This window comes from Homo sapiens, chromosome 12 (genome assembly GCF_000001405.40).
Source record: "Homo sapiens chromosome 12, GRCh38.p14 Primary Assembly".
In the NCBI taxonomy this organism is placed as follows: Eukaryota; Metazoa; Chordata; class Mammalia; order Primates; family Hominidae; genus Homo; species Homo sapiens.
Genome location: NC_000012.12, coordinates 122,266,775 through 122,287,487, shown reverse-complemented (window position 1 = coordinate 122,287,487; position 20,713 = coordinate 122,266,775). Strand labels below are relative to the sequence as shown.

The 20,713-nt window shown below is 43.1% G+C and overlaps 1 protein-coding gene across 24 annotated transcripts in view, besides 1 other annotated feature; it reads left to right on the top strand.

The window, feature by feature from the left end:
* The window catches only part of CLIP1 (CAP-Gly domain containing linker protein 1), a 151,488-nt gene extending 135,469 nt beyond the window's left edge, over positions 1-16,019 (top strand). For 14 of the 24 annotated variants that reach the window (XM_047429314.1, XM_047429320.1, XM_047429318.1 and 11 more), the window contains 6 exons: positions 8,343-8,460; positions 8,546-8,696; positions 9,285-9,334; positions 11,044-11,049; positions 13,326-13,450; positions 14,388-16,019. In XM_047429314.1, coding sequence (XP_047285270.1) covers positions 8,343-8,460; positions 8,546-8,696; positions 9,285-9,334; positions 11,044-11,049; positions 13,326-13,450; positions 14,388-14,613 — 676 coding nt within the window. In that variant the 3' untranslated portion in view covers positions 14,614-16,019. The remainder of the gene's footprint in view (positions 1-8,342; positions 8,461-8,545; positions 8,697-9,284; positions 9,335-11,043; positions 11,050-13,325; positions 13,451-14,387) is intronic. The other 10 variants (XM_047429321.1, XM_047429319.1, NM_198240.3 and 7 more) reach the window with 1 other exon arrangement.
* Positions 4,879-5,079: a silencer, noted in NCBI's record as "peak2017 fragment used in MPRA reporter construct". NCBI's record gives its function as "represses an SCP1 promoter by STARR-seq MPRAs in K562 erythroleukemia cells {active_cell/tissue: K562}" and the evidence as "EXISTENCE:reporter gene assay evidence [ECO:0000049][PMID:32103011]".

The following is a 20,713-nucleotide window of genomic DNA, read 5'->3' as shown; positions in this document are numbered from 1 at the left end:
ATGTGCTTTTTCGCTTGTTAAAAACAAAACTAAAAATAAAAACAAACCTTAAAGAATAGCATAACCAGTAATTTCTCCATGCTCTTGTGAAGTATTATTCCCACTCGTCAGGGCAGAGGAGGTTTCCCCACCGACCTACTGAAGCGTATGTTTTACGCAGCACTGTCTCCTCTGCCAGCGTAGCAGTTGCTTAGGAGTTGAGGGCTTTATTTATTTAGATTTAGCTATTTGGATTCCGTAAGCCACATTCTAAAGGACGTTAGGCCTTGGTCCAGGGATGCATTTTCTTTTTTCTTTTTTTAATTTATTTTTTTCAGACATGATCTTGCTGTGTCTCCCCAGTTGGAGTGCAATGGCTCAATCATGGCTTACGGCAGCCTCAATCTCCTGGGCTCAATTGATCTTCCGACCTCTCAGCCTCCCAAGTGGCTGGGACTACAGGCATGCGTGATCACACCTGGCTAATTTTTTGTTTGTTTGTTTGTTTTTTGAGGCAGACTCTCGCTCTGTCGCCCAGGCTGGAGTGCAGTGGTGCGATCTCGGCTCACTGCAACCTCCGCCTCCTGGGTTCAAGCGATTCTCCTGCCTCCCCCTCCTGAGTAGCTGGGATTACAGGTGCATGACACCACACCCGGCTAAATTTTTGTATTTTTAGTAGAGATGGGGTTTCACCGTGTTAGCCAGGATGGTCTCTATCTCCTGACGTCGTGATCCGCCTGCCTCAGCCTCCCAAAGTGCTGGGATTACAGGCGTGAGCCACCGCACCCGGCTTTAAAAATTTTTTTTTATAGTGACAAGGTCTTGTTATGTTGCCCAGGCTGCCTTTCCTTTTTTTAAATTTAGAAATATTTAGTGAAATTTCACTAAGGTGGTGTTTATACTCAGAATGCGCGTGTGTTTCACCACTGCCGTGCCCCTGATAAGTCTTTGTCTACTTTTTTTTTTTTTTTTTTTTTTTTTTTTTTTTAAGACAGAGTCTTGCTCTATCACCCAGGCTGGAGTGCAGTGGCGCGATCTTGGCTCTCACTGCAACCTCCCCACCTCCCAGGTTCAAGCAATTCTCCTGCCTCAGCCTCCCAAGTAACTGGTATTACAGGCGTGCACCACCATGCCTGGCTAATTTTTGTAGTTTTAGTAGAGATAGGGTTTCACCATCTTGGCCAGGCTTGTCTCTAACTCCTGACCTCGTGATCCACTTGCCTCAGCCTCCCAAAGTGTTGGGATTACAGTCGTGAGCCACTGCGCCTGGCCTGTCTGCTCTTTTAAAATGTGCGGTTTTTATTTAGAGAATGTCTGTGCTTTACACGGTGCCAAGCAGGTTTAGTGGGTGCTACTGCTGAGAACAACAGCCTATCCAGCAGTTGCTGCAGAATACTAAATAGGTGCGTATCACAACAGTGATGTGCTTTTTTGCTTATTAGAAACAAAACTAAAACTAAAAACAAACCTTAAAGAATAGCATAACCAATGATTCCCAGCCCAGCCAGATGTTCTCCAGGGAACTTGAAAAGTGATGCCTAGTTTGCCATGCCTAAACCTCGTCCCTGTTTATAGCCACAATTCTGTCTCTGTGGGCCTCGGGGTATTTAATTTTACATAAATAAGATTTTTGTTTCTTTTTTAAAAAAAAAACCCTTATGTAAGGAGTTATCAAGGACACGTGAAAAAATAAATAGGGCTTGTTCCTGCAGCATTCTGGCAAGGGAGCTGTGGCCTGGCACGGTGGTTCATGCCTGTAACCCCAGCACTTTGGGAGGCCAAAAAGGGAGGATCAGTTGAGCACAAGAGTTCAAGACCAGCCTGGGCAACATAGTGAGACTATGTCTCCATTTAAAAAAAAAAAAAAAAAGGTCGGGTGCGGTGGCTCACGCCTGTAATCCCAGCACTTTGGGAGGCCAAGGCAGGTGGATCACTTGAGGTCAGAAGTTCAAGACCAGCCTGGCAATACAAAAATTAGGCCGGGCACCGTGGCTTACACCTGTAATCCCAGCACTTTGGGAGGCCGAGGTGGGTGGATCACAAAGTCAAGAGATTGAGACCATCCTGGCTAACATGGTGAAAGGTGAAACCCCGTCTCTACTAAAAATACAAAAATTAGCTGGGCATGGTGGCATGTGCCTGCAGTCCTAGCTACTCAGGAGGCTGAAGCGGGAGAATTGCCTGAACCCGGGAGGTGGAGGTTGTAGTGAGCCGAGATCGTGCCACTGCACTCCAGCCTGGTGACAGAGCAAGACTCCGTCTCAAAAAAAAAAAAAAAAAGGACTGGTATCTCCCTACATTTATGTAGCACGTCATAATTCACAAATTGATCTAATCTCAAAACAACCCAGTGAAATATAATGGTGGAGCTTGCATTTTTAAATGATGAAATTAGCTGGACATGGTGGCACATGCCTGTAGTCCCAGCTACTCAGGAGGCTGAGGTGAGAGGATCACTTGAGCCCAGGTATTCAGTGCTGTAGTGCACTCTGATCATGCCTGAGAAGAGCTGCTGTACTCTAGCCTGGGCAACATAGTGAGACCCTGTCTCTAAAATAAAATAAATACATAAAATGATGAAACTAAAGCTCAAAAAGTTAGGCAAGTTGGCCAAGGACTCAGGACTAATAAAAGACAGGTGTAGGCTAAAGACTCAGATCATCAGATTTTTTATGCTGGTTCTCTTCTGAGTGAATTTTTAAGCTTTTTATTTATTTATTATTTATGTGTATCTTTTTAAAAAAGAGATGATGTACTTAATGATGAAGTCCTTATCATGTAACTTTAAGTAAATTACATGCCTTTCAAAATATGGTTAGGCATGGGACGCTTTTCATGGCTTAAAAAGATGGAACATGACCAGGTGCAGTGGCTCATGCCTGTAATCCCAACACTTTGGGAGGCCGAGGCAGGTGGATCACCTGAGGTCAGGAGTTTGAGACCAGCCTGGCCAACATGGTGAAACCCCGTCTCTACTAAAAATACAAAAATAGCCGGGCACGGTGGCGGGCATCTGTAGTCCCAGCTACTCAGGAGGCTGAGGCAGGAGAATCGCTTCAACCCGGGATGCAGAGGTTGCAGTGCGCCGAGATCGCGCCATTGCACTCCAGCCTGGGCAACAAGAGCAAAACTCCATCTCAAAAAAAAAAAAAAGATGAAACAAATTTTGGGGCCGTGAAGTTCTCTCTCCTACTTCTCTCTGTTCCTGTTTTATGTCCTCAATGTTTAGGAGGATGTCTCTTGAAAATCACTCTTAATTTTCATCAGAAATTATAGATAAAGATGACTTTTTCTGGGAGTGAAAATTTCACTCCTAGTTTCTCATGTGTAGAAGTGTTTTTTGTTTGTTTGTTAATTAACCCTTATGGAAAGTTATTTCTGTTTTAGAAACCTGAATGTAAATGGATTTTAGATAATAGTTGGGGCCCTTCATTGCCTTCTAAAACTCAGATTGATAAAGGATTCATATGTAGGCCTATGCGTGTAATGGTTAAATAAATGTGTCAACCATTGAGTACCAAAAAGAACTTAATATACTATTAATTTAAAAAGCCTTGCAAATACTTACATTGTGAGTATTTGAAATGTAGTTGGTCATGCAAGAACTGAGAGCTTAGTCAACACTTGAATTCAGAAGTGATCATTAAACGTACATAGTTAAGATAGTAATAGAATCACTATGGCCAAATAGTCATGATATTCAAGTGCAGAACTTACTCCCAACTGTAGGATTAAACTGGTTATCATGAAGAAATTAGAATCCGGCTGGGTGCGGTGGGTCACGCCTGTAATCCCAGTGCTTTGGGAGGATCACCTGAGGTCAGGAGTTCAAGACCAGCCTGGCCAACATGGTGAAACCCCATCTCTACTAAAAATACAAAAATTAGCTGGGTGTGGTGGCGGGTGCCTGGAATCTCAGCTACTCAGGAGTCTGAGGCAGCAGAGTTGCTTGAACTCAGGAGGCGGAGGTTACAGTGAGCCGAGATCGCACCACTGCACTCCAGCCTGGGCAACAGAGCGAGATTCCATCTCAAAAAAAAAAAAAAAGAAAAGAAAGAAAGAAAAAGAAAGGAATTAGTGGAATCCTTCTTTATTTGCTGTGGGGTTTTTTTTCTTTTTGTTTTTTGTTTTTTTGTAACTTTAAACATTGAGTTGCAAGCAGTATGTAGTAAAAAATTTTTCCCCAAGCATAAAAATGTAATCATTTCTTTGAAAAACTCTCAAGTTGGGTAAGCCTTTTAAAACAGGCTCTAAGAGTCTAATGGGTAAAGCAGGGTATGCCTTGCATTGCTCTAATTGCCAGAACTGGGGGAGTTTGTTCATCTGTGCCTCTGAAGCCTGATGCAGATTTGGGAGCCGGTTTGGTTGCTCCATTCTCTAGGCTTTTTAGTGTCAAAGAAGGGGCTCCAAAGCCAAAGGCGCGAGGCATGGATTTTGGAGTCAGAATTCATCCTGTCAGTGCCAGTGCAGGATTTCTGTTAGGAGTAAAAACTGGTTTGACAATAAAGCCCCCAAATTCTGAGGAGGTCCCGTGCTACTTCAGCTCATCCGGCTCACTGTGGGTTGCTAACTGTCTGACTGTCTCCGAGCTTGCGCTACTTACCAATGCTCATTTCACCCCTCTCTTTTCCCTTTCCTACTCTTGCTTCCTTTGCTATATCTGTGTGTCTTTAATGGTAAGACTAAAGAAAGTCTATCCACGTTATAATAAATAAATTTCATATATTTTTAGTAAACCAAATTGTTGTATATATTTTTTGGCTGCCTTTGTCCCTCTGTGTCTTGCTTTTGTTTTGTAAAATATTCTCAGCAGTATATATATATACATATATATATACACACACAAACACACACATATATTTCCTTTTTATATCTATATACAGCAAAGAACTTCAGTGCAAATTTAGTCTCCTTACTGTATTTGCGTTTCTCTTCATGGTTCTAATATTTGGTTCTTGTTATCTTGCATTTTTAAAGCTTGCCCAGTAACACTTTAAGGTATTTGCTTCATTACTGGAATTTGTTTCTTATATAAGTAGTAAGGAAAGAATCTGGGTAAAATGTTCCCTTGGGAGATGGAGAGAGAAAGATTTCTGTTCCCTCTATCCCTTCTTTCATGTTATGTTTATTTTCCCTTCTTGATTTTTTTTGGTAATACCAAGTCATTCCAGCTAATGGCTTAATACGATTTGTGACTCAGACGTCAGTAATGTTGGCATAGACAATGGTTTAATGTAGTCCCTCCTGGTGGTTTGCATAGTGGAATTGGAGCTTAGAGATGGCCTAAGAAGCTAGCAATGACAATAGGTCACAAAGATGAGCTGCCAGAGTCTACTTATCCTGTCATTTGGTGTATAAATCACAAGTCAAATTTCTTTCTTAACCATGCACGTGTTGGTAACTTGTATAAGAAGCATTCTGGCAGCGATCTCCTTAGAAAGCAGCCAGGCTGAGAGGTTGTGTGTGTGTGTGATGATGAGCAGAGTTTGTTTGGTGGCCCCAGAGAAGGGCACCTGTCCCTTTTTCCTTCTGCCAGCTGGAGGTTTGTTTATCCCTCCCCAGCACTAAGCATCTGTGGGATCTTGGCCAAATAGAGTCCTGATTATAGGGAAATCTAAATCTCTTCTTGATAACCCAAAATCCTGGTTTTTTTTAGTAAAAACATTTAAAATTACATTTTTTCAAATTTGAGTTGGATTTATAGCAAGTGAAGCTCTGGAAATCATTTTTTTTTTAACAGAATCAACTACTAAATGCATTTAATAGAAACATAAGAAACCCAGGATTTTTTTTTTCAGACGGGGTCTTGCTCTGTTGCCCAGGCTGGAGTGCAGTGACACTATCACAGCTCACTACAACCTCAAGCTCCTGGGCTCAAGCCATCCTCCCGCCTCAAGCCATCCTCCCGCCTCAGCTTCCCTAGTAGCTGGGACAACAAGCATGCGCTGCCATGCCTAGCTAATTTTTTTTTTTTGTAAGTTTCTGTAGAGACGGGGGTCTCACTGTGTCAACCAGGCTGGTCTCGAACTCCTGGCCTCAAGCGATCCTCCTGCCTTGGCCTCCCAGAATGCTGGGATGACATGGATGAGACACCGCGCCTGGCTGAAACCCAGGCTTTATTGCATCTTTGGGTGACATCAGATATTTTTACTTCCCAGGTGGCAAAAAGCACCTGTACATTCCTTTCATTTAAGTTGCTGTTTTAACCTAAGCAAGAGCCTATGTCCTAACAAGGTTACTAGCTTAGTAATTTACCCGCACTGATGCCCACCCGTTGCCAGTGCGTGAGTAATGCTGGGGTTTTTAATTCAAGAAATTTCTGTCTCAGATTCTTTTCTTACTACTTCTCATTCTGGAGTGTAAGTGTAAGCCACACAATGAGATAAATACAACACTTATATTTTCATCTTTGTGTAGAGTTTCAATTTGCCATAAGTCATGAGATTTCTGTAACTTGTGTGCCGGATATCTTGGGTCTCACTAACCAGACATACATTCTGCCGTTTCTAACCTGGGCCTCAGTTTTCTGTTCCTCCAGTTGGTTCCAAAACAGACAACCAGTACATCCTCTGCATTTTCCCAGTTCCTTGGAATAGAACCAGGTGTGATTTGGCTTCTTGTTAAGGTTATGACCACTCACTGGTGACTGTGGTAATGTAGTGTCTTAGGTCATATGGCCTGTGGCCTAGCCTAGGAAACTTTTCTCCAGTTTTGTTTTTCCTAAAGTATTTTTGTCATTTTCCTCTCGTGTTTCACACTGCATGTCATTTAAAAAACTTTTTATTTTAAAATAATTTTAGATTTCCAGAAGAGTTGCAAAAGTAGTGCATCCAGTTCTCACAGACCTTCCCCCAGAGGCCCCTAATTGAACATCCTACACAGCCCCGGCACACTCATCAAAACTGAGAAACTCCCATGAGCAGCATACTCTCAGCTGAAACAAGGGACTTCATTCAGATTTCACCAGTTTGCTCACTAATGTCCTTTTGTGTTACAGCATCCAAACTAGGATCCCGCCTTGCAGTTAGTTGTCATATCTCCTTCGTCTTCTCTATATGTGACAGTTTCTCAGCCTTTTCTTGTATTTAATGACCTTGGCATTTTGAAATGCATGTAGTTTTTATAACAAAACTTTCAGTATGGCCGGCTCACGCCTGTAATCCCAGCACTTTGTGAGGCTGAGGTGGGCGGATCACTTGAGGTCAGGAGTTTGAGACCAGCCTGGTGACCAACATGGTGAAACCCCATCTCTACTAAAAATACAAAAATTAGCTGGGCGTGGTGGCAGGCGCCTGTAATCCCAGCTACTCAGGAGGCTGAGGCAGGAGAATCGCTTGAACCCAGGAGGCGGAGGTTGCAGTGAGCAGAGATCGCACCACTGGACTCCAGCCTGGGCAACAGAGCGAGACTCTGTCAAAAAAAAAAATAAAAAAAACACACAACTTTAAATAGGTACACATATGTAAACACATGCTAGCCTGCTCTTTGGGCTGTTTTCACTGTGTCCTGCGTTCCTCCCTGTTCCTCCTTCGTCTTTCCCTTTCTCTTCTCACTCCCACAACCCTCTCATTAAAGGCCTCATCCCCGCCCTCTGCTGATAACCAAGTGCTGAGTCAGGCCGAGAACATAAACCAGGCGCTCTGAATTTCTCCTTCCAGGCTCCCCATGCTTTCATTCTGCACCTGAGAAAACCATTTTAACATTTTCTGTTCTAGCCTTTATGTAATTACCATTAATTTCTATGAGCTAATTTAATGTCCTCTTCAGAGTCTATGGCTGGAAAGTAATAATCCTTCAGTTTGAGTAATAATAATAATCTTTACTACTGTTTTGGCCCATAACATCTTAAACACCCATTCTTGGAACTTGCTACAAAAGTTACTGAAATTAGTGAGAACCAATTGATATTTCCAGCATAAAGCTGCTCTGCATGACATCTGTATAACTGCTTTGCATGTGTGTATTTTAATTGTCGTTATTGCTTGGTAATAATTTATTCAAGAATTAACAAACTTCAACTTGGGGTTAGATTTTAGTAGAATATTGGGGAGGGTGCAACCGTTTTTTTTTTTTTTAATTCTACCTCTTCCAAATTTATTAACTTGTTTCTTTAAGTTCAAATGGATACAATCACATGCAGACTCTGGCATGTCTATGCATAGGTAAACTTTTTCTCCCCTCACAGTAAGTAAAATTTCAAGTAAAATTTTGTGAGCATAATGGCCTTAACTCCCTATAAAACTTCCCTGTTATATTTTTTTTTTTACATTAACTAACATTAATTATGTGTTTGTTCTAGAACAGTTGTACACTGACCAGTCTTTCGGTTGATTTGTGGAACTTTTAACTCTTTGGTCTTTTAGAGAATCCAAGTTCATAAAAGACGCAGATGAAGAGAAAGCTTCCTTGCAGAAATCCATCAGTATAACTAGTGCCTTACTCACAGAAAAGGATGCCGAGCTGGAGAAACTGAGAAATGAGGTAGAGTACCACCCAGGGTGCACGAGCTTTCACGCGGCCTCCTTTCGTTCAAACCCTCAGCCTAAGCTAAACAACTGTGTTTCAGGTCACAGTGCTCAGGGGAGAAAACGCCTCTGCCAAGTCCTTGCATTCAGTTGTTCAGACTCTAGAGTCTGATAAGGTGAAGCTCGAGCTCAAGGTAAAGAACTTGGAGCTTCAACTCAAAGAAAACAAGAGGCAGCTCAGCAGCTCCTCAGGTAAAGGGCGCCTGCCCAGTGCTTCTCTGTACACCCCGCGTCCTCCCGAGGAGCCCTTTCTAGTAGAGATGCTCTTCGAAGACAGCTCTCATGCTGCCCTGACCCTGACTCTCCTTAGCTCTTCCACCACTTAATCAATCAAGGGCTAATCCCATGTGCCTGCCATCCCCGTTCCTGGGGCTTCTTGTGGTCTGTCAATATTGTCACAAACCTACTATGATGGCTGCCTGCTGCCATCCAGACTGGGGGGTCTTAAAGTACATAACAGTGCAGGAGAAGAGGTGGTCCCTTTGGTGAAGAAGGGTGGATTGCCTCTGTACATTCAGATGGACGTGACAGGCATTCTAACCCAGGAGTTAGCAGGCCTGAGGGAGAGCACGTGAAGGGCAAGGCTGGTGTCTGTGAGACCCTGTAGGGTCCCGCAAGGGGACACAAACTCATCCACATGTGCTGAAAGTGGTGCATCTGGGAAGTCCACAGGAAAATGAGTTTTGAACACAGGCCCTTTCACTGCAGTTTAGATTGTGATTAAAAATATACATATATTCTCCCTCCACTTGTTTTTTTTTTTTTTTCCTCAAATATAAGGTAATACAGACACTCAGGCAGACGAGGATGAAAGAGCCCAGGAGAGTCAGGTAATGTTCCTGCCTTATTGCTTTACTTTCTTGCTGTTTTTCAAAATCATTGAATCTTTTCGTTTATTTTCCTTCTCATTTGATGCCTTTTGTATCATTTAGTCTTTTGAATTGGTAATGCATTCCTCTAGTCCAAACATTAAACAGAATTAAAAATATATACATTAAATGTCTTCCTCCAAACCTTCTCTCTCTTCTGCTCAGTTCCCAACCCTGCAAACAGTTAATTACTGTTATTTGTGTCTTTCCTTTTCAGAGATTTTTTAAAGTGTGTATACAAGCCAGCACTAATACAGTCTTCCCTCCCTTTTTTTTTTTTAACATAAATAATGGCATACTACATAAACGGTTCTGCACTTATTTTTTTTATAGCTATGTAGTGTTCCATTACGTGGATTTACTATAATTTAGTCAGTTCCCTATTGGTTGACAATGACACTGGGATGTTTCTGATCCTTTGGGTGTATTATAAACAATGCCGTAAGGAATTATCTTGGGCAGCTATCATTTTATATATTAGTATTTCTGCAGGATGAATTCCTAGAAGTAGAATTGCTCTGTCAAAGGGTTTGTTACTCATCTGAACCTTAAAAAGACTGGTTTCTTGAAAACTCAGTCTCTTAAAGCGAAAATTAACAAAACAACTTTAGTTTTAAACTAAAAATGGGATTAGGCCAGGAATGGTGGCTTATCCCTGTAATTCCAGCACTTTGGGAGGCCAAGGTGGGATGATTGCTTGAGCCCAAAAGTTTGAGACCAACCTGGACATAGCGAGACCTCATCTCTACAAAAAAAAAAAAACAAAAAAAACAAAAAACAATCCTGCAGCCTGAGTGACAGAGCAACACCCTGTCTCAAAACAATTACTTAATTAAAAAAAAGTTTTTAAGGGCCTGGGCCAGGTGCAGTGGCTCACGCCTATAATTCCAGCTTTTTGGAAGGCTGTGGCAAGCGGACTGTTTGAGATCAGGAGATCGAGACCAGCCTGAGCAACAATGGCAAGACCCCATCTCTACAAAAAATAAAATTAGTTAGGCATGGCGCCATGCTCCCATAGTCCCAGTTACCCCAGAAGCTGAGGCAGGAGGATCACTTGAGTCCAGAAGGTTGAGGCTGCAGTGAGCCATGATCATGCCACCGCACTTAGGCCTGACTGACAAAGCAAGAACCTGTCTCAGAAAAAAAAAAGGTGGGGTGGGGGGCCCGGGCACAGCAGCTCACACCTGCAATCCCAGCACTTTGGTAGGCCAAGGTAGGCAGATCGCTGGAGCCCGAGACCAGCCTGCGCAACATGGGCACTCCAAGCTGGGTGACAGAGCAAGGCCCTGTCTCAAAACAAACAAAAATTTGTAAAAAGGGATTATATAAAGGCAAACTATTCTGTACTTGGAAATATAATTGTATATAGCAACAAACATCTGTCTTTTAATTTTAATATACTTTGTATGTATTAGTCATGTTCAAAATTCAAAAGTACAAAAGCCACATTTTATATTTAAATAAAAGAAAAACTCACCTTGAGATGTTAGTTGCCAGACACCTCCTTTGAGGGGCACAAAACGATTCAACACTGTACAAACTTACCATGGATTAGCATTGTCCTCTTTGTATGTCTACTGGGCTTAATAACTAACAGTGTCTTCTCTTCCCCCTTCCTTTCTGCTTCGGTTTGTTTCATCTGCTGCTGACAACACTTTTCTTCCAATCAGCAAATGGTTCGTTTCATGTTTCCTAATTTGCGTGCACACGTGTGTGTGTGTGTGTGTGTGTGGTTTCCCACTATACTTATGTCCATTTTGTGGCTTTTTCTTCTTCCTGAAATGGAGCTCTTAACACGATAATGACTTAGAAAATGCACGTTGAGAAGTGAAGGTAGACTCAGTAGGTCTGCCTTCAGAGGTGGCCTCCATGATGCTGGGATATGCTGCAGAGAAAGACTGCAGTGATTGCTAACTTTGTTCATAACTCCCCAGCAGGAGAAAAAGACCAAATATTTCTTTAAAAAGTAAAATATTTATGTATATGTGTGTGTATATCTATATATATTTTAAATATTGTAAAGTGGGATCTTTCAGTTTAGAGAAATGAGACTTTTCATTATTTGTAGAAGGAAGAAATTTTTTGTTTTTAAGTCAAAATGCCCTTTGATTGAAAGGAAATGTTCAGGATAAGAGCGGTCCCTCCTGTTGGCCATCTTGTTGTCCCCACTGCCCCAGCTCTTGGCATGGGCACTCTCCCTCTGGGTGGTACCTGAACACCGCCTTGTTGGCGTGCCTGGCTGTCTCTCCTAGGTTGGGAGGGAGCTTTAGCCTTCTCCATTTTCCCTGAGGACATGTTTACTTATTGCTCCACCATTATCAGTCAGTTGATAAATGAGAGTCTGAAGGAAATTTCCATGTGACTTTTTCAAATCTGCCGAACAGAAAAGTCCTGGATGGATTGTAGAGTTTAATGGAAGAACTAACCTTTTTATGCATTTTGTGTGTGTGTGTGTGTGTGTGTGTGTGTGCGCGTGTGTGTGTGTGTGTATTTTTTTCTTTTTTGAGATGGAGTCTTGCTCTGTTGCCCAGGCTGGACTGCAGTGGCGTAGTCATGGCTCACTGCAACGTCCGCCTCCTGGGTTCAAGCGAGTTTCCAGCCTCAGCCTCCTGAGTAGCTGGGACTACAGGCGTAAGCCACCACACCCAGCTAATTTTTGTATTTTTACTAGAGACAGGGTATCACTATGTTGGCCAGGTTGGTCTTGAACTCCTGACCTCAGATGATCCGCCTGCCTCTGTCTCCCAAAGTGTTGGGATTACAGGCGTGAGCCACCACGCCTGGCCAATATTTTTTATGTGGTAGAATGAAAACAAACTTGTGCCCATATATTCAGAAATATAAGATTATGACTTCTGGAGAATGCAAGATTTTTTTCTCCTATTTAAAAAAATGTTTCTTATATTTTTTCATGAATCAATAGCACTCCACCAACCCACAGATTTAGATGTTTAGGAATAATTTCAGCTGGGTACAGTGGCTCATGCCTGTAATCCCAACACTTTGGGAGGCCGAGGCAGGCGGATCACGAGGTCAGGAGTTTGAGTCCATCCTGGACAATATGATGAAACCCCGTCTCTATTAAAAATACAAAAATTAGCTGGGTTTGGTGGCACGTGCCTATAGTCCCAGCTACTCGGGAGGCTGAGGCAGGAGAATCACTTGAACCCGGGAGGCAGAGGTCGCAGTGAGCCGAGATCGAGCCACTGCACTCCAGCCTGGGCAACAGAGCAAGACTCCATCTCATAAATAAATAAAATAATTAATTAATTCATGGCCTGGCACCGTGGCTCACACATGTATTCCCAGCACTTTGGGAGGCCAAGCCGGGTGGATCACCTGAGGTCAGGAGTTTGAGACCATCCTGGCCAACATGGCAAAACCCCGTCTCTACTAAAAATACAAAAATCAGCCAGGCATGGTGGTGCATGCCTGTAATCCCAGCTATTCAGGAGGCTGAGACAGTAGAATTGCTTGAACCCAGGAGACAGAGGCTGCAGTGAGCCGAGATCCTGCCACTGCACTCCAGCCTGGGCGACAGAGCGAGACTCCGTCTCAAAAAAAAAAAAAAAACAAAACAAAACAAATGAAGTTTACCCATGTTATACCTAGAAACATTCAATGAAGTGTAATTTAAATTTTTTTTTAAAATATAAAATAGCATCTCCTCAGTAATGAACATTTGAAGAAATCTGAAAGGTGTGAGGGGGTAAAAGAAACTGCCATAGCCTTACCACCTAGACATGGCCTCATTTAAGTTCAGCTCTTTACTCACACAATCTCAGCATGCCTGTCCTCCGGGAGAGTGAAAAGCATGGGTTCCTAATAGCCGCTGTTGGCCCCTTCTGCACACTTTGCCGCCAGAGCTTAAAGGTATAAACTTCATGACTTCTTGATGCTCCAGCTTATATATATTCTTGACATTTTACACATTTTTTTTTTAACAAATCAGATTGATTTCCTAAATTCAGTAATAGTGGACCTTCAAAGGAAGAATCAAGACCTCAAGATGAAGGTGGAGATGATGTCAGAAGCAGCCCTGAATGGGAACGGGGATGACCTAAACAATTATGACAGGTATTTCATATGAAGACATACTGATTGCTATAATCCCAGCACTTTGGGAGGCCGAGGCGGGCGGACCACTTGAGGGTCAGGAGTTCGAGACCAGCCTGGCCAACACGATGAAACCTCGTCTCTACTAAAAATACAAAAGTTAGCCAGGCGTAGTGTTGCATGCCTGTAATCCCAGCTACTTGGGAGGCTGAGGCAGGAGAACTACTTGAGCCTTGGAGCTGGAGGTTGCAATGAGCCGAGATTGCGCCACTGTACTCCAACCTGGGTGACAGAGCAAGACCCTGTCTCAAAAAAAACCATACTGATTGGAACCTTAGTTTCATCAAAATAAATATGTTTTTAAAGTGAGCTTCTCTAGGGGATTGTAAAAAGACGCAACAAAAAAAAACAAATGTTTTGTGGTTCCTTTGCCATAAATAGATTTCCATAAATCTGGCAAGTGAGTGAGAGGAGACTACAAATGCTTTGACATGAAGATTTTAAATGTGAGGCTGGCGTGGTGGCCACGACTGTAATCCCAGCACTTTGGGAGGCCGAGGTGGGCAGATCACCTGGGGTCAGGAGTTCAAGACCAACTTGGCTAACTTGGCAAAACCCCATCTCTACTGAAAATACAAAAAAGTAACTGTGTGGGGTGGCACGCACCTGTAATTCCAGCTACTTGGGAGGCTGAGGCAGGAGAATTGCTTTCACCTAGGAGGTGGAGATTGCAGTAAGCCAAGATCATGCCACTGCACTCCAGCCTGGGTGAGAGTCTGAGACTCCATCTCAAAAATAAAAAAAATACTTTAAATGTGGGATAATGCACTACTTATACTGGAAGCTCACAGACTTGGCCATAATTAGTTCTTGCTTAATTTTTAAATTTTTTGCAAGTGTTCTTGTCTCTTCAGTTTCTTCTGATAAATTTTCTGATTTCACACATTAACATTTGTAGTGATGATCAGGAGAAACAGTCCAAGAAGAAACCTCGCCTCTTCTGTGACATTTGTGACTGCTTTGATCTCCACGACACAGAGGATTGTCCTACCCAGGCACAGATGTCAGAGGACCCTCCCCATTCCACACACCATGGCAGTCGGGGTGAGGAACGCCCATACTGTGAAATCTGTGAGATGTTTGGACACTGGGCCACCAACTGCAATGACGACGAAACCTTCTGATGAAGCCTCCAGTGGAGAACTGGGCTTGCTCAGACGCACTCGCATTGACACAACGTAACACCAGCATTGTGTGTGCAGACTTCAGGAGAACTCATGTTATTTTTTAACCCCGTCAACAAATCTAGGAAAATATTTTGATCTTCAACAAATTGCCCTTTAGTCTCCCCGTATGAGTTAGAATAATAAATATTTAGTAGGTGAGTTTTCACCTCGAATTTTGTTTTCTTGATTTTTACGTTTGAAGACATTGCACCAGATGCCATTACATTTATTGGCCCCCCGACCTTGTAGAAAAACCCCTACCCTCACAATACCTTATTTAAGTAACTTTAAATTATGCCGTTACTTTTCATATTTGCACTAAGATATTTCCAGGCTGCATTTGTATATTTAGATTTTTTGGTTAAGCTTTGACACTGGAATGAGTTGAAAAAATGTGCCATTTTGCATTTTCATCTACTCATTTAAAGTATTTTATTCTTATTCAAAGAAATATCTGAGCTCTTTGCACTACCTGTTATCAGTAGTGCCTTTACTTCAGGCTTGATAATACTTAGGTGTGATTATAAAATCATGAAGCAGGTAAAGGGAGGGGCAAGCCCCCAAACTGCTGTGGGGACATTTTATAATCTATATGCTGCACCCACTTAATCTACTGTGGTGTTTTGTTTATTAGTTTTGCATAATTTCAGCTTCTATATATTGTATGTATATATTTTTTAAAAATCTATATTTTGGGAAAAAAACATACACAATGTGTCTTTCTTTTTGGACATTTACCTTTTTGAAAAAGAAAACACTTAAAATGATCATTAGGACATAACAGACTAGGCCAGACATAGCATCTTGTGGCTTTGCAACCATTTTCATTTGTTTGTTTTCCTTTTATTTCTTCACCAGATTTAAATAACTGGAGGAATTTTCTCCAATTTTTTTTTCCTTCTCTGGCAGGTATCCCCAGCAGTCAATTAACAATAAGCCAGTATAAAACACCTAAATAACCAATCTACAATCTCCCTTCACAAGTTTTTTTACTGTTTTTAGATGAATGTACGATGAGAAATTCAACGTTAATAATTCTGGATTTTCTTATCACAAAAAAGAAAATGAAGGACCTCAAAGCACCTGAACAGTTTATCGACCAGTTTGAATCTATTTATCTTCATTTGAATGTCTTCTAGAATATGTAAAAAGTCATAAAATGTATCTTCCATGCTACATGTACAATAAGAACTTCTATAATTGTATATATGCCTTTGATGTATTTTCCCCTCAAGATTATCAACTGTGTGTTCGACAGTGAATATTCAATCTGGTACCAGTTGAAATTTTTGGTTATAAATGTAATACGAATTGTTTCACAAACAGAAAACATGTAAAGCAGTATTAAAATTTGGCCAAACAAGTGTTCTGTATCTACTTTAATAAATGGTTATTCTTTTTTGTTTTGTGGGTTTTGTTTTGTTTGAGACAGGGTCTCACTCTGTTGCCCAGGCTGGAATACAGTGGCACAATCATGGATTGCTGCAGCCTCCAACTCCTGAGCTCAAGCAATCCTCTCACCTCAGCCTCCAAAGCAGCTAGGACTACAGGCAAGTGCCACCACACCTGGCCAATTTTTTTTTTTTTTTTTTTTTTTTTGAGACGGAGTCTCACTCTGTCGCCCAGGCTGGGTGCAGTGGTGTGATCTCGGCTCACTGCAAGCTCCACCTCCTGGGTTCACGCCATTCTCCTGCCTCAGCCTCCCGAGTAGCTGAGACTATAGGCATCCGCCACCATGCCCAGCTAGTTTTTTGTATTTTTAGTAGAGACAGGGTTTCACCGTGTTAGCCAGGATGGCCTCGATCTCCTGACCTCGTGATCCGCCTGCCTCGGCCACCCAAAGTGCTGGGATTACAACACCTGGCTAATTTTTAAATTTTTTGTACAGAGTGAGTCTCCCTATGTTGCCCGGGCTGGTTTTGAACTCCTGGGTTCAAGTGATCCTCCCACTTCAGCCTCCTAAAGTGTTGGGAGTGCTCACCCAGCCAATAAATGGTTATTCTTTTTTGCTAATGGTAGTAAATTGATATTCTCAGGTTTGTCATAATGGTTTTACTTCAAATGAGCAAACCCTATACATTCATATAGCAATTTCTACTGCAGTCTTGTTACTAAAGTTTTTAAGAAATTGGTAGGCCTGGTGCGGTGGCTCACGCCTTTAATCCCAGCACTTTGGGAGGCCGAGGCGGGTGGATCACGAGGTCAGGAGATCGAGACCATCCTGGCTAACACGGTGAAACCCTGTCTCTACTAAAAATACAAAAAATTACCCGGGCACGGTGGCGGGCACCTGTAGTCCCAGCTACTCGGGAGGCTGAGGCAGGAGAATGGCGTGCACCCAGGAGGCGGAGCTTGCATTGAGCCAAGATCGTGCCACTGCAGTCCAGCCTGGGCGAAAGAGTGAGACTCCATCTCGAAAAAAAAAAAAAGCCAAGCGTGGTGCACACCTGTAGTCCCAGCTACTGGGGAGGTTGAGGCAGGAGAATTGCTTGAGCCCAGGAGTTAAGAGGCTACAGTGAGCTATGATTGTGCCACTGCACTCCTAGGCAACAGAGTGAGACACTGTCTCTCATTTTTTTTTTGGTATGTCTTTCTGTCCTTCTTAAAGTGTTTCATGACCCATTTAGCATAACGTACTTGTAGTTGTTATCCATTACTGTATCACCCCACATTACCTGACAAAAATAATTACCTGATAAAAATCAATGTGGCACCATGTGGTGCCAACTATCTATTCGTCCATGAAGTCTTACAAATTGAAAAGTCCATATAATATTTACAAAAATGATACTGAACCAATTGAGTGCTATGCCTTTGAACATGCTTCTCTTGTTTTGAGGCAGGGTCTCACTGTCACTCAGGCTGGAGTGCAGTTGTGCAATCTCGGCTCACTGCAACCTCCGCCTCCAGTGCTCAAGCAATTCTTCCACCTCAGCCACCTGAATGGCTGGGACCACAGGCGCATGCCACCATGCCCAGGTAATTTTTTAAATTTTTATTTATCTATTATTTATTGAGACAGAGTTTCACTCTGTCGCCCAGGCTGGAGCGCAGTGGCACGATCTTGGCTCACTCCAGCCTCTGCCTCCCAGATTCAAGCGATTCTCCTGCCTCAGCCTCCTGAGTAGCTGGGACTACAGGCATGCGCCACCATACCCAGCAAGTTTTTGTATTAGTAGAGACAGGCTTTCACCATGTTGGCCAGGGTGGTCTTGAACTCCTGACCTCAGGTGATCTGCCCATCTCAGCCTCCCAAAGTGCTGGGATTACAGGCGTGCACCACCATGCCTCACCTAACATCTGTTTTATAAACAAATGTTTATAAAACATCTTGGAAGAACCCAAGGATGGAAACCGGACAGTGGGTGGGATATGGAGAAGGGTCTTAAAACCTGTAGATTCAGTTATGTTTAGAGTCTGGATGAGGTATGCTAGGAAAGGGGTGGTGAGAGAGCTGGGGTGGGGAAGTTGGTGGGAAGGACGGTATTCAGGTACTGAAGACTGAAGAAAGGTTGGGAGTCATTGTCAAGTAGGCAGCCAGCGTCAGGACCCAAGGACTCACCCATAGGTAGGTATTTCCAAAGCAGTTACTGCTTGAATAAGAACATTACTTCTACCTAGATAATACATTAAAACACAGTAGTTCTCAACTTTGGTACTGACCTTAGGTGATTAAAAGACTCTAAACAAGTCTGCAGTATTTGTAGGGTAACTATAGCAGTTGTCTCTCCTGGTCTATAAAAGCACCTGTTGTTACTTCATCATTTTGTAGCATCCTGATCCTGCTTGGGGATAGTTTATCATCCTAGTCTTAGTTACACTCACACATCCTTGAGATTTCACTAACCTGGGGCATTTCACCTCTTGGAGTAAGTTATACCCTCATTTAACAGCTCATGACATGGCCTGCTGAACACAACTTTTATTCTCACAGGCGTTAACATGATGCATTCTCTTGGCTGTGAGTCTGTATATAGAAAAAGAATTGTGTATTATCAGCCAGGAGCAGTAGCAGGCATCTGTAGTCCCAGTTACTCTGGAGGCTGAGGCCAGATGATAGCTGGAACCCAAGAGCTTGAGGCCAACCTAGGCAACATAGGGAAACCCCATTTCTATTAAAAAAAAAAAAAAAAAAAAGCTGGGCGCGGTGGCTCACGCCTGTAATCCCAGCACTTTGGGAGGCCGAGGCGGGCGGATCACAAGGTCAGGAGATCAAGACCATCTTGGCTAACACGGTGAAACCCCGTCTCTACTAAAAATAGAAAAAAAATAAGCCGGGCGTGGTGGCGGGCGCCTGTAGTCCCAGCTGCTGGGGAGACTGAGGCAGGAAAATGGCGTGAACCCGGGAGGCGGAGCTTGCAGTGAGCCGAGATCGCGCCACTGCACTCCAGCCTGGGCGACAGGGCGAGACTCCATCTCAAAAAAAAAAAATAATAAAAATAAAAAAATAAAAAAATAAATCTCTGTTGAGGCTGAGAACCACCTTGAAAACCAGGTTGAGAACTAAAGCATGGAAGCGTTTCCATGTGTGTTTTGTTTTTGTTTTTGAGACGAGTCTCGCTCTGTCGCCCAGCCTGGAGTGCAGTGGTGAGATCTCGGCTCACTGCAACCTTCGCCTCCCGGGTTCACGCCATTCTCCTGCCTCAGCCTCCCGAGTAGCTGGGACTACAGGCGCCCGCCACCATGCCCGGCTAATTTTCTGTATTTTTAGTAGAGACAGGGTTTCACCGTGTTAGCCAGGATGGTTTCGATCTCCTGACCTCGTGATCCACCCGCCTCGGCCTCCCAAAGTGCTGGGATTACAGGCGTGAGCCACCGTGCCCGGCCTCCATGTGTGTTAAATTATTAAAATCTAAATGTCCTTGCTGGAATCAAATTGAGAACAGAAGTTTTTGGTTGAGTGGCTGCTTTTCTGCACCATCCACAAATATCACTCTGCTTGTTCAGACTCTATGATAAGTGCTTCATAATGTAAACTGTATAGAAGATGCTGGAGGAGGCCGGGCACAGTGGCTCACACCTGTAATCCCAGCACTGGGAGGCCGAGACGGGCGGATCATGAGGTCAGGAGTTCGAGACCAGCCTGGCCAACATGGAGAAACCCCATCTCTACTAAAAATACAAAAAATTAGCCGGGCGTGGTGGCACGCGCCTGTAGTCCCAGCTACTCGGGAGGCTGAGGCAGAAGAATCGCTTGACCCAGGAGGCAGAGATTGCAGTGAGCCAAGATGGCACGACTGCACTCCAGCCTGGGCAACAGAGCAAGATTCCGTCTCAAAAAAAAAAAAAAAAAAAAAGGAAGCTTTGCACTCAAAGAAGGAAATTTTCATCTTTGACCAGATCCCAAAGGCCCATTTCCACCCCAAAGTATCAAAACGCATATATCCTACTAATATTAATAGTTTATTGAGCAATTAAGTTCCAGGCACCCAGTTAAGCCTCTCACGTGGACTGCACGATGAAATTCATACCCTCATTGATCCTCACTACAACTCAGAGGTAACATGGAATTTTACTGAGGCAAATGGTGGGACCTGGATTCCAGAAGCAATACTATTTGTGTGAAATGTCATGTCACTGTAAAAGTCTGTTAGGGATTACCCAAAAAAAAAAAAAAAAAAAAAAGTCCACTCAAGATTCCCTCGACTCCTCACCATATTGATACATTTTAGCTCAGAAATTAAAACAGCCTTGATTAGTGCAAAGCTAAGAAACTTCTGACTGCTATAATTTAAGATTTGAGCAGTGGGTGGCGGCGCGCACCTGTGGTTCCAGCTACTCTGGCGGCTGAGGTGGGAAGATCACTTGAGCCCGGGAGGTGGAGGCTACAGTGAGCTATGATCACGTCACTGCACTCCAGCCTGGGCGACAGGGCGAGACACTGTCTCAAAAAAAAAAAAGTTTTTTTTCCTATCCAAGTTTAGCCTTAAGATATCATCTTGCAGCAAGTACCTTTGCTGCAAATAAAAATTCGCGATTTTTAAAAGGGACAAGAGAGAGTCAATGTCTTTTTTTTTTTTTTTTGAGACGAAGTCTGCCCAGGCTGGTCTCAAACTCC